Source organism: Homo sapiens, chromosome 15, assembly GCF_000001405.40.
Source record: "Homo sapiens chromosome 15, GRCh38.p14 Primary Assembly".
NCBI lineage: Eukaryota > Metazoa > Chordata > Mammalia > Primates > Hominidae > Homo > Homo sapiens.
Genome location: NC_000015.10, coordinates 101,171,554 through 101,188,463, shown reverse-complemented (window position 1 = coordinate 101,188,463; position 16,910 = coordinate 101,171,554). Strand labels below are relative to the sequence as shown.

Here is a 16,910-nt window from a genome sequence, read left to right as displayed (position 1 = left end):
GTGGGATAACCATGCGTCCTGAGAGTCTGGACCGCCACCGTTTATGCTGGTGGTCTCGGCCTGATTATTAACAGACCCACTCTTTCATCTCACAAGGTCCTGCTTGGGACAGTAAGTTACCCGTGGAGCCTACCTGGAAGCATATGAGAATGTAATTTAAATGTTTAAAACTCGTGACTGGCTACCAGCAGTTACGGTCTCTTGACATTTAGACAACGCTTACTTTCTTTGAACCACTTTTCAGGACAAAAGGGTGAGAAAACCACTTCTCTGTAATGAACTGAAACGCTGCCTAAGTCCGAATGGGAAGTTGTCGCTCTGTAGCAGTGATGGTCTGTAGCTGAGGCTGAACCGTGTACGTGCTGAAGGACAGTCATGTAAACAGTTAACAGGAAGAACGAGGACTTAATGAGAATGTTGGCTCTCCTTGCAGCGGACAAGAAGGACATTTGCTAATGAAGACTGTGGAAGGTATTTGTTAACCAAAGATTAGATATGGGTAGTTGATGGTTATTCCCAGCTGGGCTAGAAGTTCCTGGGAATAGCGTGACCTTGGTATTAGCCCCTCTCAGATTCACTGGAGAATGACGCAGAGCCCTGAAACATCTCACAGGAAGGGAGATGGCTTTGCTGGAGTTGAAGGATATGGAGGCACTTTTTATAACAAAGATTAAGGGTTGTTTCATGGACAGTGGAAATTAAATGAAGTCATCAGTGCCACTATAAGCATCTTAAGAAGGTTTCTTTGCTGAGTTTTTTTTAAGCAAGGAATACTCTTGTGAGTATTAAGTTAACCTGTCTAGATTGAGTTGTGTTTTCTTCTGCAGTACTTCTAACTTTCTGTTTTATAATATTCTTCTAGGTGATGTGCCAAATTATAGATTATTGAAATACCTTATAATAAAATCCTCTTAAACTTTGAATTTGGTACTATCAAAATATTCTGGAGTTTTGTTTGTTTGTTTGTTTGTTTGTTTTCTTTTTTGAGATGGAGTCCTGCTCTGTTGCCCAGGCTGGAGTGCAGTAGTGCCATCTGGGCTCACTGCACCCTCCGCTTCCCAGGTTCAAGCGATTCTCCCACCTCACCCTCCCGAGTAGCTGGGACTACAGGCACACGCCACCATGCCTGGCTAATTTTTGTAATTTTAATAGAAACAGTGTTTCACCACATTGGCCAGGCTTGTCTCGAACTCCTGACCTCAAGTGATCTGCCTGCCTCGGCCTCCCAAAGTGCTGGGATTACAGGCGTGAGCCACTGGCCCGGCCCAAAATATTCTTTATAACAAAAATGTCATTACTTTATTCCTGGAGTTACTAAAATGAACTGTTAAGAATCTCGTATTTATAACTAATTTTATAGAGGAGTTGGAGATTAAGTTTCACAGGATAGAAACAGTTAATAGGGACGTGTTATTGCCCTTTAATGCTTCAAATATAGTTTCAGTCAATGAAGATATTGCTGCAGCTTCAGCCATAGCAGGAGTAGGTGGGCAGAAGAATGTCAGAGCTGGGCTTCAGAGGATTTGTGACTCGTTCTGACATGGTCACATAAGATCTTTGAATTCTTTACCTTGACGGATCCTCTGTCTAGTACAATGCAGTCACTTTTTTGTGTTTTTTGTCTGTTTTTGTTTTTGTTTTTGTTTTTGTTTTTGTTTTTGTTTGACAGGGTCTTGCACTGTCACCTAGGCTGGAGTGCAGTAGTGCGATCATGGCTCACTGCAGCCTCGACCTCCCAGGCTCGTGATCCTCCCCCCTCAGCCTCCTGAGTAACTGGGACCACAGGCATGTGCCACCACCTCTGGCTAATTTTTTAATTATTTGTAGAGATAGGATTTCACCATGTTGCCCAAGCTCATCTTGAATCCCTGGGCTCAAGCAGTCCTCCCGCCTCAGCCCCACAAAGTGCTGAGGTTACAGGTGTGAGCCACCTTGCCCAGCCCAGTCATTTTATAAATGAGAAAACTTGAGACTTGATCAATTCAAGTAGCTTGTCCAAGGTCTTACAGCTTTATTCTTGAAATTGTTATATTCTAAACTTTCTTCCAGAGAAATAGTAGCCTTATTTCTGTTACAAGAAAATTGCAATTTAGTCATGTGACTATACGTTTTATTTATTTATTTATTTATTTATTTATTTATTTGAGACAGGGTCTCACTTTGTCACCCAGGCTGGAGTGCAGTGGCACGATCTCGGCTCACTGCAACCTCCGCCTCCCAGACTCAATTGATTCTCCCACCTCAGCCTCTGAAGTAGCTGGGACCTCAGGCATGTGCCACCACCCCTGGCTATTTTTTTTTTTTTTTTTTTTTTTTGGTAGAGACAAGGTTTCACCATGTTGCCCAGACTGGTCTGGAACTCCTGGGGTTGCAGGCATGAGCCACCATGCCTGGCCTGACTATACTACTTAAGGGTCAGGGACTTCAACAATTTCCTGTTGAATGCAGGAAATTGCCTGGAGCTCAGTAATTAAATGCTACCTGCGTGTTTCCTACTTAATGGCATTCTGGTGGTGAGCAGTGACGTAGCCCATAATATGAGGGAAAGCAGGGAGATGGTTGGAGATGTAGGCGTTAAACGCTTAATGACCAGCATTTCTCCTTGATGTGCCTAGAGCAAAATGATTCAGTTTCATCTCACCCACAGCATGCCTCTTAAATACGCATCCTCAAAGAAAAATGAAAGGTAGGAAGTAGGGAAAACCCAAATCACAGCAGAGAAACTGGAAACTTGGTGAGGTTAAAAAAAAAAAAAAAAAAAAAAGATATTTCGAGGAGAACATTGCAGGGGATTCAAAAGTTCAGTACAAATGGCCGCCTTGCCACAGAGGCAAAGATTCCATCCAGAAGCACTGAGATCTCTTGATGTGGTCACATGGGAGGGCTACCTGGGAAGGCGGGGAAGGGGGATGGAGGGTGCTCCATGGAGGGCGTTCACAGGGAAGGGGGATGGAGGGTGCTCCATGGAGGGCGTTCACAGGGAAGGAGGATGGAGGGTGCTCCATGGAGAGTGTTCACAGGGAAGGAGGATGGAGGGTGCTCCATGGAGGTTGTTCACACTCAGAGCAAGGGCTGGCCTGGAGGTCCCATGGCCCTGGAGCCTGGTGGGGCCCGTCAGGGCTTCCCTAGGTTTTCCTTCCTGCTCCATTCAGAAATCACAGATGATGTATGAATTTCTTTCCTAACCTGGCTTTAATATCTCATTGACATTTTTGCTTTGCATTATATTTCACATTTCCTGTTCTTAAAGAGCTCTAAAGACAGCATATTTGATTTCTGCCTCTCCATCTCCCATTCCACACGCTGAGGGTAACAAGAAAATGTTTCCCTACCTCTACACCAAAGCCATTTATGACAAGGCTTTGTACAGAAATTGGCTGAAGGGCACCACCCGAAGCCCATTTGGGCAGGTCTTGGTTAAGGTGGAGGTACTCGTCCTTACCTGCGACAGAGTGTCTGCTCACCTGTTGCTTAAACCCGCATCACCCTCTTTTAGAAAGGGAGAGCTATTTCCTTGACGTGAGTTTAGATTTTTTTAAAGATCATTACAGGTATGTGTTCCACCCAGTCTGTCAGGTAGGAACTTCTCTGTCTGAATTGTTTATATACCGTAGCAACATTAATAAATAATAAATTAATAAAAGTAACTCCTCTGGGACAGAGCAGGGGCCACCAGCCAGTCTGGGCGTAGACTTGGCTTTATTTTAAGTTCACTTTCTCTCAGGTGCTCCCTCCCCCAAGCATGTGCATGTGCACCACTCACACACACCTTTTTATCTTACAACAGATTTCTTTTTCATTAAAAAAAGAAAATGGCCGGGCTGGGTGGCTCACGTCTGTAATCCCAGGGCTTTGGGAGGCCGAGGCAAGCAGATTGCTTGATCCCAGGAGTTCAAGACCAGCCTGGGCAACCTGGTGAAACCCCATCTCTACAAAAAAATACAAAAATTAGCTGTATGTGGTGGTGTATGCTTATAGTTCCAGCTCCCTGGGAGGTGGAGGTTGCAGTGAGCTGAGATCACACCACTGCACTCCAGCCTGGATGACAGAAGGAGACCCTGTCTCAAAAAAAAAAAAAAATTATATATATATGTAACACATTTATTTCAAACTTGTAGAGTTTAGCCGGAAGGTACTTACAGCAACTTTCACTGTAGTTTAAAACCCTCAGTCTGTTTTACAGCTTCTACCAGCCTGTTTAGTCAATACTTTTCTCCATGTTCACCCCCTTAGCACACACACTCTGTGAAAGTAACAACCGTAGGCAGCTTCTAAAACACTTTGTGAAATGGATTCCTGAAAATGTGTGGGGATGTGTTGTCCTAGTGGGTGTGTGAGAAGTAGTCAGTCATGTAGAGGCCTCCCGTGGGGGCCCGCCCTCCCTGTGTGGGGTATGGACGGCCAGGAATAAAGTGTGCAGTCACATTTGGTCTAGGGAGTAAAAAAAAGGTGACCACTATATCATCTCTCCAGAGTAGTATATATTTTCTCTTTAAATATGCTGCTGATTTTTGCGTTTTAAAACACATCCTGGCCAGAGGAGCCCAGCCTTATCCTTGTATGCCGTTTACCATGTGTAACATATCGTGTCTGTCATCATCAGCTGTTTCCTTCTGTATGGATGTCATTCAACAATTTCTCCATACTTGCTCTGTTTAAAGACCTCACTTGTTATGAACTCGATGTGTCAAGCACTGAGCTGGACTCTGGAGATGGAGGCAGTGGGCACCCACACCCTCCCCCGTTTGCACGTGTTCCCGCAGCTGCTGCAGGGCTGTCCGTGTGGTGCCTCCTTGCATGGTCATTCTGGCCCATGCGTCTTGTTTCCTGGATCCTGTCATCTTCTTTACAGCTTTCTTTCCTTGCTTTAGAGGAACATATCCTTCAGTAGCTTCCTGGGAAGGAATGAGTGCAAGGTAAAATTGAGTCCTGAGTATCTGACATCTTTTGCTGTTCTCACTGGATGGATAGTTTGGGAAGAGAATTCTACACTGAGAATAATTTTCCACTCCTCCCACTTCTGAAGGCATTGTTCTTCAGCTCCCAGTGGTGTTATCTGTGTCCGGTGCCATTTCCATTTCTGATTATTTGTATATGCCCTTTTTCCTCCTCTGTGGAAATTTTTAGATTGCTTTTTCCTGTAGTTTTTATACTGGATACTTTTATACTGTACTTTTTATACTGGATACTTAGAGTTTAACCCAGGCACCTGACTCCCTTAATTCTGGATCCATTTTTTTATATTGTTGTTTTCCCTCCTGTGTGCTTTTTGTTCCTAGAATGAATACTTTTCTCTCCTGTTGTCTGGTTTTTTTTTATCGTTATGATCTTCTAGGGATTTCTTCAGTTTTATCTTCAAACTCTACTCCTTTGTTTTGCTGTCTTGTGTTTGGTTTCAAGGGTTTTTTCCTCTGATTTTCGTGTTTATCACATTCTGTTTTGGTTGCACTGTCTTCCCTTTGACTATATTGTAGATTTTTGTTTTTGTTGTTGTGTTTTTCTTCTGTTCACTGCGTTGTTTCTGTTCCACCAAGGGTTTTGCTTTTGTTTTGTTTTATTTTCATCATTCCCATTCAGAACCCTTTTTCAGCTGCCCTGATGATCCTTGACTGTTGATTCTCATTAAGAGTGAAGCATTGAGAAGCTGACCAGGAGCTGTGTAGCAGAGGCTTTTAAAACTAGTGTCTTTGCTGTAATGATCCAGCTTTTTGGGTGATGTTTTTGTTGGCAGACTCTAGGTATCTATGGTACTGTTCAATTGATCCAAAAGACTCTTCCGGTTTCCTGCTTGGGGTGGGGAGTGGAATAAGTTTTCTGGGACACAAGTGGGATATGAGGGCAGGGTCCTGCTCAAGTCCCCCAATTTCCATTTCCCCATTATCAGACTTGCACCTCACCACCTTGTGCTTGGGTGTAATTTCTGGAAAAACTAAACTTCAGAGTTATGTATTTATCAAGGAAGTAAACCCAGAGGACTAAGATGCAGCATTCATTCATAACTGTATAAAACAACTGTGATACATACTCTACTCCTGTAGTGACTTCATAGCTGCCTCCTGTTGCCACTGTGGTGAGCTCAGCTGGTGCAAATGTAGGCTTGAAATGCTGGGTGACACTAATCATCCCCACCTGAACAGTTCATCACTCCAGAAAATTGCATATTGCAGTCAAAAGCGATCTCTTGCAGTTCTTATATTTTTCGTCAGATTTAGTGCAATACTGTGAACCTCGAATAACACCGTGGGACCCATATGAAGTACCACTAACCATGCTGAATGGTTCCCAAGAAACAGAAAAGTCATAATATTACAAGAAAAAGATGAATTGCTTGCTAGGTACTGTAGATTGAGGTCTGCAGCTGCAATGGCCCATCCATTTCAGATACAGACGGTTGATTTTGTAAACAGACAATGTAAACTCACAGTATTAATACATACAGTGCTGTAAGTGTATTTACTCTTCCTTCCATGCCATTTTCTTAATAACATTTTCTTTTCTCTAGCTTCCTTTATTGTAAGAATGCAGTATATAATTCACACAACATGCAAAAGATGTGTTATTGATTGTTATTGATAAGACTTCCAGTCAACAGTAGGCTATTAGTAGTTAAGTTTTTTAGGAGTCAAAACTCATACATGGGTTTTTGACTGCATGAGGAGTCGGCACTCCTAACCCCCACGTCGTTCAAGGATCCACTGTATTTGGGAAGAGAGGAGAAAATCATGTCAGTTCCACCACTCCTGTTCAGCCATAAGTCTCCAATGTGTGTTCTAAGAATACCTCTGTGCTACTGTCTTGAAGCACTGTTGAGGGAGGAACAGAATTCTGCAAGCAGACCCATGGGGAACCTGTGGCATGACCCAGTGGGGCTGGAGAGAGAAGGGTCGGAGATACATGGGGAGATGGAATTGGCAGCACGAGCTTCCTGCAGGGCAAAGAAGGAACAGCACATGCTTCAGACTGTTCTCACCTCACTGTAGAAGACAGCTTGTAAGGCCAAATTAATGTGTGTTTACACTCTTGGAAATGGAGAGACCTTCCACAAACGATATTATGGTTCTTCGTGTTCATTGTTAAGAATTTGGAAATTATGAGCAGATGAAATGGAAACAATTTATACTTGAAACAAATACATGTAGAATCTCTGCCGGAATTGTCATCTAGCTTTTTATCTCACAGCAGACAGTCATGACTCTGCTAGCTCTCAGTTAGGCACATTGTGGGCTTGTGGGTCTCTGCCGTGGAAGAGCCTTCCTTACCATGAGATCCTCAGGTGCAGTCAGCGGTGGGGTCTGGTGGCCTGCGCAGTTACTTAAGTCACGTTACAAAGGCTGGCCTTGGTGGAACAGGAAGCATGGCTTCCCAGACCCTGGGAGCGTCTTCTGAGGCACCGTAGCAGGTCCTTGTAACTGCTGTGCCTCCGAGTGCCCCAACAGGATTGTAAAATGACTATATTTGCTTCAAGGTTTTATGGCCTGCAAATAACCTTTCTCAACCTTTCTTCTCTTTGAGTCCCCACATGACATTTGCCACCTTGTAGCCCTGCCGTTTGTACCCAAGAATCAGCCCAGCTAGAAAGTGAACAGTAAGGATGCTTTGGGCAGGAAGTGCATCAGGCTTCTTTTGTTGCGACCCACAGAAGGAGCAAAGTAAAAAGAGAGATAAGTTAACGTGGTTCATCCAAGCCTTGTGGCAGGGCCTTTATCTTCATGTTGTTTGTATCTGGCCCGCCCATCAGGGCTTGAAGGAGTCCCGGTGCCAGTCGCCTACTGCCTTCTCTCAGCAAGCCCCAGGTTACTTCTTTGCTTCAGTTTATTTAAAACAAGAATTTGAGATTTGCTTTCCTGTAGTTGATAGTAAAGTTGATAGTAGGTAGCAGAAGGGGCATGTAAAATTCCATATAAAGTGTGCCCTGTGTGCTGCATGGGGGTCAGAGTCGGAGTTTCTCCTCCTAGCCTAGGGAGGCCCTGCTTCCTACCCCCACAGAAAACCTCACCACCTTTTCTAATTAATTAGAAAAGTGTGCCACAGTGTGGGAGTGATTTCAGTGGTAAGTCCATGCGTGCACCTGCCATGTGGGGAGCATAAGCGGTGTGGGAAGGAAAGTTGGAAACAGCGGCGGCACTTTGGAGGACCTGTAATTCTGCTCTAATTCTTGCTCTAAGACCGGACTCACGGGTGCCCAGGAGGTAGAGGTTAGCCCTCATCAGACCCCAGCTCTGTGCGGGGCCTGGCAGGCATGCCAGCTCCCTGTTTACTTTTTACCTTATGAGAAAAAGAAGTAAGGTATAAAAGTGCCCATTTATATTTCTCTACTATTAAACGGTAGTTGCAGTGGCTCAGGAAAGAGTCAGCATATGATTGTCCAGAGGCAAATAAACCAGTCAGCCAGAATGCGTGTCATCCCTTACCAAGAGTTAGTCTTTAACAATATGAACAAAAAACAACCATGAACTTGAAAGAAACAGGACTAATTTACCAGATACCAACCTCAAATGCTTTCACTGAACATTTTTTGCAAACTATTACTCTGCATTCCAACATGCTTTGTAAAAACGTTCATCTCCTTGCCCAGATGTACTGAGGCATTAGGCACATTCCCTTCCTAACTTGAGGGAACCCATTTTGGCTGATGGCCCGTAAGCTTATGCTGTCCCAAAACCTGCGCCACGGGGCGGAGGCAGGGTTGGTGGAATGGTGAGCCCTGTGCGTCCTGCATGTTTCCCATCTGCCAGCATTTTCTGATCCCCCAGGCACCAAGCTCCGTGCTGGTGCCGGAGACCCCGTGCTGAGCAAGCAGGCCCGCTCCTGCCTCCACAGAAGACCTGGGAGAGGGGTACCTTCCTCGTACGCAGGAGGCCAGCAGCGTGAAGAGGGTTTTCAGCGTGTGCTTTTGCTTCCAGAGACCTCAGCAGAGCCTTGATTCATCCCTGCAGCATCCTCGCAGGGCCAGGCCGCCTCCTGCCTCTGATAGGCTTTCCCTTCCCTTAGCTCCCTGGAAGCAGGGTACTCCTTCGCTCAGGTTGTTTGCCTGGAGTTCTTCTGGCTCTCAGGAGGAAGTTTATTCCCACAGATAGAAGCCGCAGGATCTGCTATTCAGGTCTTCAGCCAGGGACGCATGACTCTGTGGGTCCCTTTCACAGGCGTAGTGGGACGGGGGTGGCTTTATCTTTCAGGCATGCTCCTGTGGTGCACTGTGATCTCAATTTTATATGTTTTCATTATGGGACAACTTTTTCATAATTCTGTTTGCCTGTGAAAGTATATTGGCCAACTTTGGTTATTAACCCTTACTTCCTTAAGCAGTTTCTATCTGTGAATTCTTCTAACCACATTGGACTGCTGTTGATCGGGCCTTATCTAGGGCCTTTTGTGTGCTGTGGTCCATTCAGAAACATTTCTAATATTTGCATTTTCTTTAGCATGTGCTGGCACTCAATCATACAATACTAAATTTGTGATCTCTTTTTTTTCCTGTAACAGATGCAGCAGCTTTTTTATGAGAATTACGAGCAGAACAAAAAGGGGTACATTAGAGATCTCCATAACAGTAAAATTCACCAAGCTATCACATTACACCCCAACAAAAACCCACCCTACCAGTACAGGCTCCACAGCTACATGCTGAGCCGCAAGATATCCGAGCTCCGCCATCGCACAATACAGCTGCACCGCGAAATTGTCCTGATGAGCAAATACAGCAACACAGAAATTCATAAAGAGGACCTCCAGCTGGGAATCCCTCCCTCCTTCATGAGGTTTCAGCCCCGCCAGCGAGAGGAGATTCTGGAATGGGAGTTTCTGACTGGAAAATACTTGTATTCGGCAGTTGACGGCCAGCCCCCTCGAAGAGGAATGGACTCCGCCCAGAGGGAAGCCTTGGACGACATTGTCATGCAGGTCATGGAGATGATCAATGCCAACGCCAAGACCAGAGGGCGCATCATTGACTTCAAAGAGATCCAGTACGGCTACCGCCGGGTGAACCCCATGTATGGGGCTGAGTACATCCTGGACCTGCTGCTTCTGTACAAAAAGCACAAAGGGAAGAAAATGACGGTCCCTGTGAGGAGGCACGCGTATTTACAGCAGACTTTCAGCAAAATCCAGTTTGTGGAGCATGAGGAGCTGGATGCACAAGAGTTGGCCAAGAGAATCAATCAGGAATCTGGATCCTTGTCCTTTCTCTCAAACTCCCTGAAGAAGCTCGTCCCCTTTCAGCTCCCTGGGTCGAAGAGTGAGCACAAAGAACCCAAAGATAAAAAGATAAACATACTGATTCCTTTGTCTGGGCGTTTCGACATGTTTGTGAGATTTATGGGAAACTTTGAGAAGACGTGTCTTATCCCCAATCAGAACGTCAAGCTCGTGGTTCTGCTTTTCAATTCTGACTCCAACCCTGACAAGGCCAAACAAGTTGAACTGATGAGAGATTACCGCATTAAGTACCCTAAAGCCGACATGCAGATTTTGCCTGTGTCTGGAGAGTTTTCAAGAGCCCTGGCCCTGGAAGTAGGATCCTCCCAGTTTAACAATGAATCTTTGCTCTTCTTCTGCGACGTCGACCTCGTGTTTACTACAGAATTCCTTCAGCGATGTCGAGCAAATACAGTTCTGGGCCAACAAATATATTTTCCAATCATCTTCAGCCAGTATGACCCAAAGATTGTTTATAGTGGGAAAGTTCCCAGTGACAACCATTTTGCCTTTACTCAGAAAACTGGCTTCTGGAGAAACTATGGGTTTGGCATCACGTGTATTTATAAGGGAGATCTTGTCCGAGTGGGTGGCTTTGATGTTTCCATCCAAGGCTGGGGGCTGGAGGATGTGGACCTTTTCAACAAGGTTGTCCAGGCAGGTTTGAAGACGTTTAGGAGCCAGGAAGTAGGAGTAGTCCACGTCCACCATCCTGTCTTTTGTGATCCCAATCTTGACCCCAAACAGTACAAAATGTGCTTGGGGTCCAAAGCATCGACCTATGGGTCCACCCAGCAGCTGGCTGAGATGTGGCTGGAAAAAAATGATCCAAGTTACAGTAAAAGCAGCAATAATAATGGCTCAGTGAGGACAGCCTAATGTCCAGCTTTGCTGGAAAAGACGTTTTTAATTATCTAATTTATTTTTCAAAAATTTTTTGTATGATCAGTTTTTGAAGTCCGTATACAAGGATATATTTTACAAGTGGTTTTCTTACATAGGACTCCTTTAAGATTGAGCTTTCTGAACAAGAAGGTGATCAGTGTTTGCCTTTGAACACATCTTCTTGCTGAACATTATGTAGCAGACCTGCTTAACTTTGACTTGAAATGTACCTGATGAACAAAACTTTTTTAAAAAAATGTTTTCTTTTGAGACCCTTTGCTCCAGTCCTATGGCAGAAAACGTGAACATTCCTGCAAAGTATTATTGTAACAAAACACTGTAACTCTGGTAAATGTTCTGTTGTGATTGTTAACATTCCACAGATTCTACCTTTTGTGTTTTGTTTTTTTTTTTTACAATTGTTTTAAAGCCATTTCATGTTCCAGTTGTAAGATAAGGAAATGTGATAATAGCTGTTTCATCATTGTCTTCAGGAGAGCTTTCCAGAGTTGATCATTTCCTCTCATGGTACTCTGCTCAGCATGGCCACGTAGGTTTTTTGTTTGTTTTGTTTTGTTCTTTTTTTGAGACGGAGTCTCACTCTGTTACCCAGGCTGGAATGCAGTGGCGCAATCTTGGCTCACTTTAACCTCCACTTCCCTGGTTCAAGCAATTCCCCTGCCTTTGCCTCCCGAGTAGCTGGGATTACAGGCACACACCACCACGCCCAGCTAGTTTTTTTGTATTTTTAGTAGAGACGGGGTTTCACCATGCAAGCCCAGCTGGCCACGTAGGTTTTAAAGCAAGGGGCGTGAAGAAGGCACAGTGAGGTATGTGGCTGTTCTCGTGGTAGTTCATTCGGCCTAAATAGACCTGGCATTAAATTTCAAGAAGGATTTGGCATTTTCTCTTCTTGACCCTTCTCTTTAAAGGGTAAAATATTAATGTTTAGAATGACAAAGATGAATTATTACAATAAATCTGATGTACACAGACTGAAACATACACACATACACCCTAATCAAAACGTTGGGGAAAAATGTATTTGGTTTTGTTCCTTTCATCCTGTCTGTGTTATGTGGGTGGAGATGGTTTTCATTCTTTCATTACTGTTTTGTTTTATCCTTTGTATCTGAAATACCTTTAATTTATTTAATATCTGTTGTTCAGAGCTCTGCCATTTCTTGAGTACCTGTTAGTTAGTATTATTTATGTGTATCGGGAGTGTGTTTAGTCTGTTTTATTTGCAGTAAACCGATCTCCAAAGATTTCCTTTTGGAAACGCTTTTTCCCCTCCTTAATTTTTATATTCCTTACTGTTTTACTAAATATTAAGTGTTCTTTGACAATTTTGGTGCTCATGTGTTTTGGGGACAAAAGTGAAATGAATCTGTCATTATACCAGAAAGTTAAATTCTCAGATCAAATGTGCCTTAATAAATTTGTTTTCATTTAGATTTCAAACAGTGATAGACTTGCCATTTTAATACACGTCATTGGAGGGCTGCGTATTTGTAAATAGCCTGATGCTCATTTGGAAAAATAAACCAGTGAACAATATTTTTCTATTGTACTTTTCGAACCATTTTGTCTCATTATTCCTGTTTTAGCTGAAGAATTGTATTACATTTGGAGAGTAAAAAACTTAAACACGATTCATAAAGTTTTTCAAGTTATTTGAGGGAAATGCTTCTGTGGACCGCAGCTTGGGAGTGAAACGAAACCCGGTTTCAAGTGCTTCCTTCCGTTTTTTCCTCAGATGAGCTCGTCCTTGTTCCTCATCAACTCGCTGACCCCACGTTCTTCAAAACAAAGGTCTTCAAACCGGGCCTGGGCCGCGTCTGGCTCCTGGATAGAAATGTCCCCTCCCAGGCCCCATAGAACCTGCATTTTAACAACTGCCTGGCGTGGGGCTGTGGCACAACTTGGGGTTCCAGGATCAATCTAGTTAGAGGATAAATCAGCACAGTTGCAATATAACCCAAGAGTCAAAAGAAGTGAGATCTTTGATGCCAAGGTAGCAAGCTCGTGTGGGCAAGCATTGCCCCCGGGATAGGTATATTTACAGTGTAATGACAGTTAAGTCCCAGCATAATGACATTGCGCTCACAGCAAGAATTGCCGTAATTCAGCCTAATTGCCATTTACTCTGTGGGAGTGTTTAGTTTTTTCTTGGAGAAAAAGCAGAGACATTTTTATTCTTCGATAAGGAAGAGCATAATATGCATCTTCATGACAAAGTATTATAAACGCTTTCCTATTTACCATAGTGACAAACTGGGGGGATTTGGGACGTGGTGTGAGTGACACGTTTGAGTGTGCGTCCAGAATTTCAATGACCCTTGGTGAAACCTGCCATTTCCTTCCCTGCTCCCACTCCTGATCAGGTCTGTCCCTCTTCCTGATAGCAGTGTTGGTGTTCATGGAAGTACTGCCTCCCTTCCAGGCTCCGTTTCCAGAAACGCGGCCGGACCCCTCTAGCTCCCCGCCCTGGCAGTGGCGTGTCTGCACTCCGCGTGCTGGCCTCCAGGTTCCACTCTCCTCCGTCACCTGGTGCTGTTCTTTTGCCCAGAGGGTGGACTCGGCAGTTCCACAGGCACCCGGGCCCTCCTCAGCCTGGCTGCTGTCCCTGCGTCTATCATCCCCCGTTCCACAGGGCACCTCCTCCAGCCGCTGCGCCCCAAGTCGTGGGGGCATCCGTGTCTGCGGCCCTGCCACACACTTTCCCTCCCTCTGGACAACCTGACTGTTTCCCAGGACGCAGCTAAAACACCCCACTGTCCGCTCCGCTGCCACCCTGGACCCTTCTGTGGGATGTGACACAGCTGGGCCTCCTTCTGTGACCATGTGGCAGTATCTGTCTCACTAGAGCCCCTCAAGGAGGCCTGGGGCTCTTGTTCCCGCCCGTCCCCTGGCGTGTTGGGAACCACACTGCCCTACTCCCTCGAGCGCCCTCTCCACATGTGCCTCCTGCCAAAGGCGTGCCCTCCCATCCTCCGCACTGAGTACTCCTGCCAGTGCACAGGCTGAGACCTGCAGCCCCTGCTGGGCCTGGAACTGATCCCTTCCCCCTGAATCTCTGGAGGCTTCCTGCTTAACCCTTCCACTGTGGCTTCCTGCTTTGTGACTCCTGTGGACAGTATGTTAAAATCGTGCCGTGTAATATGGCTGAAGAAGAGGAGAAGGGTACAATCACAAAAGCATGAAGGGGAACCTCCCTCCTTCCTCCCAGCACCAGCTCAGGACTTCCCACAAACGGCCACCAAGTTTGTCCTGGCCAGGAAGGCAGAGCTGTAGGCATAGATGCATAGACAACATTTTTGAACTTTGCACACAAATGAGGGAATTCCTTCTCTCTTGGGCATGAGGACCCTGGCGGGGAGCCTCAGGGCAGAAGATGGATGTGGCTTCATGACCCAGTGAAGTGTGTGGGGAGAGGTTGCCAGTGGGATCCCGGCTTTGTGGTTGGATGCCAGGGACCCTGCATGGAATGGAACCAGGAGAGCCTTATGGGGCAGACAGCACTGGCAGACTAGGGGAACCTGCAGCTTGCTTCCAGAAGGTGGGTCAACTTCCCTGCACTGCTGTTCTGGGCTGGGATGAGACCGGAGCGTGGATGTGGACCTAGCATCCCAAGGCCTTCTGTGGAGACGCCACGTGTCACAAGGTCATGAGACGGTCCCTCTTTGCTGCAAAAGCAGGCAGGCCTCAGGAGCCAAGGTGGAACATTCCCTCCACTCCGGGATGTGAGGGCCAGGGAGGAGGGCGCTTGTAAACTCACAGCTTGGGCCCTTTGACAGTTCAGATAATGGAAGGAACTCTGACCCTCGGATGTCTCATCTTATTCCCGCCCCAGCCCCAACACGCCTTCATGGCCCTGCTGATGAGTTATTGATTCCTATAGGCAAAGTGTCTGAGCCCCTCCCTGCTATTTCACAAAGGCATCAAAGCCTAGGCCCTGACTGAGCCCAGAAGTGGACACGGGTTTCTTTCCCCCCAGCCCAGCAGGCTCAGAGCGCTCACTGGCCATCTACATAGCAGTTGACCTGAGCAAAATGATTGTCATATTTGCCTCCTTGCCATGCACTTGAAGGATCACCTAGAGGTCTGGGTGTTCCTGCAGCCACCTCCATTCACTACTCAGTGTGTTCACCGAGTCAAATGTACACACTAGTGAGTTGCCAGCACCACACTCCATCTCGTAAGGACAACACTTAGGTTATGGGAACCAGCGGCTTTCAGAGGCATTCTCCCTGCTGTTAGGGTCTCGTTTCTCAAGACCCATCCTCCAGGAAGGTGACACACCTGCCTACTGCACTGAGGGGCGCCTGCTCTGCCAGGCCCCAGGTGGCAAGGTTTCCTCTTGTGCCCTCATCACGGAGGAAGCCAAGGGCCAGCCCTCCCTGTGCCTGCACAGACGCCCGCCCTGGGGAATTAGGCTGCATTACTGCCGTATAACTTGCTGTAATCTCTGCTGCAAAGGAGCTTATGTGCTTCAGCTGGAGGCGGGGTGGTCTGTCAGCTCAAGCGGCTGCACAGGGCTGCTACCTGCCGCGGTGGGCCCCGCTGTGCTTGCTAAACCCTTGAAAGATGGCCCCTTCTGTCCTGCTTGAAATGAAAATGCTTGCACCAAATCTTCTTAGTCTAACTTGTTATAAATGCAACGATAATGTAAAGGTTACAATGCAATGGATCAAATTACAGTAACTCATTTCGAATGGCTTCCAGTAGAAAGCAGATGCTTCAGAGTTCGGTTTGGTTTTCTGCAGGGGTGTAGGGGTGAGGGAGGGGGTGTAGATTTTCACCGGAAACGATCGCGTCAAACAGATTAGGGGCTGGCTTGTCATCAGTGCAGTTAAACCACTTAATGTCTTTTGTCAGATATTTCTTCATATGTTTAATTTACCATTCATGATGTTTCAGTGATGAGGGTCTTCATTTCTTACTAATACAGGCAAAAATGAAATGTCCTTTAAAGAACATTCTAGCTACATTTCCTTTAAAACTGTAAGAGTAGTCGGTTATGCCTGACCGCTTTTTAATGAGAAAATATAATAAGAAATTGATCAAATCACTTAATAGCAAAGTGGTTGGGCAAGCTCTGGAAAATGCTTAAATGAAGCTGGCTTATCTGTAATGAATTTCTCTCCATCACAATTAAGTCGGCGATGCTCCCAGGCTGCCGCTGCCCCCTTCCCCTCGCCAGCTTGCCACGACTCATCCCCTTGGTTCACGCCACAGCCCTCCGCATGCCTCGCTCGCTGCTCCACGTGTGACCCTACTGGAGAAAAGAAATGCTTCTAGCCAAGCCTTAGGGCTACCTTCAGATTCATTCATTCTGAATTAAGTTTGGGTTGAGTTTTAGGCAAAAGCTCAGAAAGGGGAATCTCATTTATAGCCTCAGAAGCCCTGGGCACACCCCGAGGTCTGAAGCTAGAAACGAATCATTTCTAAAAGTGCACTTTCAAATGATCCCATTAGTGTTGTGAAGGAAGCATTTTGGATATTGTTGGGGGTTTTTTGTTTTGTTTTTGTTTTTGTTTTTTTCTAGAGAGAGTCTCCCTCTGTTGCCCAGGCTGGAGTGCAGTGGTGCAATCTCGGCTCACTGCAACCTCCACCTCCCAGGATCAGGCGATTCTCGTGCCTCAGCCTCCCAAGTAGCTGGGACCACAGGCATGTGCCACCACTCCAGGTTAATTTTTCATATTTTTATGAAAATGAGATGAGGTTTCACTATGTTGAAACCCTCTACGGGATAGAGATGGGGTTTCACTATGTTGGCCGGGCTGGTCTTGAACTCCTGGCCTCAAGTGATGGATCTGCCTCAA

The 16,910-nt window shown here is 45.8% G+C and overlaps 1 protein-coding gene across 5 annotated transcripts in view, besides 4 other annotated features; it reads left to right on the top strand.

Moving 5' to 3' along the window:
• The window catches only part of CHSY1 (chondroitin sulfate synthase 1), a 76,322-nt gene extending 63,585 nt beyond the window's left edge, over window positions 1-12,737 (top strand). For 3 of the 5 annotated variants that reach the window (NM_014918.5, XM_011521364.3, XM_017022011.2), the window contains one exon: window positions 9,484-12,737. In NM_014918.5, the coding sequence (NP_055733.2) occupies window positions 9,484-11,076 (1,593 nt within the window). In that variant the 3' untranslated portion in view covers window positions 11,077-12,737. Of the gene's footprint in view, window positions 1-244; window positions 472-2,894; window positions 3,105-9,483 lie in introns of those variants that run through there. The other 2 variants (XM_047432240.1, XM_024449873.1) reach the window with 2 other exon arrangements.
• Window positions 8,160-8,769: an enhancer, noted in NCBI's record as "H3K27ac-H3K4me1 hESC enhancer chr15:101719900-101720509 (GRCh37/hg19 assembly coordinates)". NCBI's record gives its function as "activates a minimal SCP1, AML or CMV promoter by ChIP-STARR-seq in naive H9 embryonic stem cells {active_cell/tissue: H9 hESC(naive)}" and the evidence as "EXISTENCE:reporter gene assay evidence [ECO:0000049][PMID:30033119]".
• Window positions 8,770-9,380: an enhancer, noted in NCBI's record as "H3K27ac-H3K4me1 hESC enhancer chr15:101719289-101719899 (GRCh37/hg19 assembly coordinates)". NCBI's record gives its function as "activates a minimal SCP1, AML or CMV promoter by ChIP-STARR-seq in naive H9 embryonic stem cells {active_cell/tissue: H9 hESC(naive)}" and the evidence as "EXISTENCE:reporter gene assay evidence [ECO:0000049][PMID:30033119]".
• Window positions 13,267-14,153: an enhancer, noted in NCBI's record as "H3K4me1 hESC enhancer chr15:101714516-101715402 (GRCh37/hg19 assembly coordinates)". NCBI's record gives its function as "activates a minimal SCP1, AML or CMV promoter by ChIP-STARR-seq in naive H9 embryonic stem cells {active_cell/tissue: H9 hESC(naive)}" and the evidence as "EXISTENCE:reporter gene assay evidence [ECO:0000049][PMID:30033119]".
• Window positions 15,042-15,928: an enhancer, noted in NCBI's record as "H3K27ac-H3K4me1 hESC enhancer chr15:101712741-101713627 (GRCh37/hg19 assembly coordinates)". NCBI's record gives its function as "activates a minimal SCP1, AML or CMV promoter by ChIP-STARR-seq in primed H9 embryonic stem cells {active_cell/tissue: H9 hESC(primed)}" and the evidence as "EXISTENCE:reporter gene assay evidence [ECO:0000049][PMID:30033119]".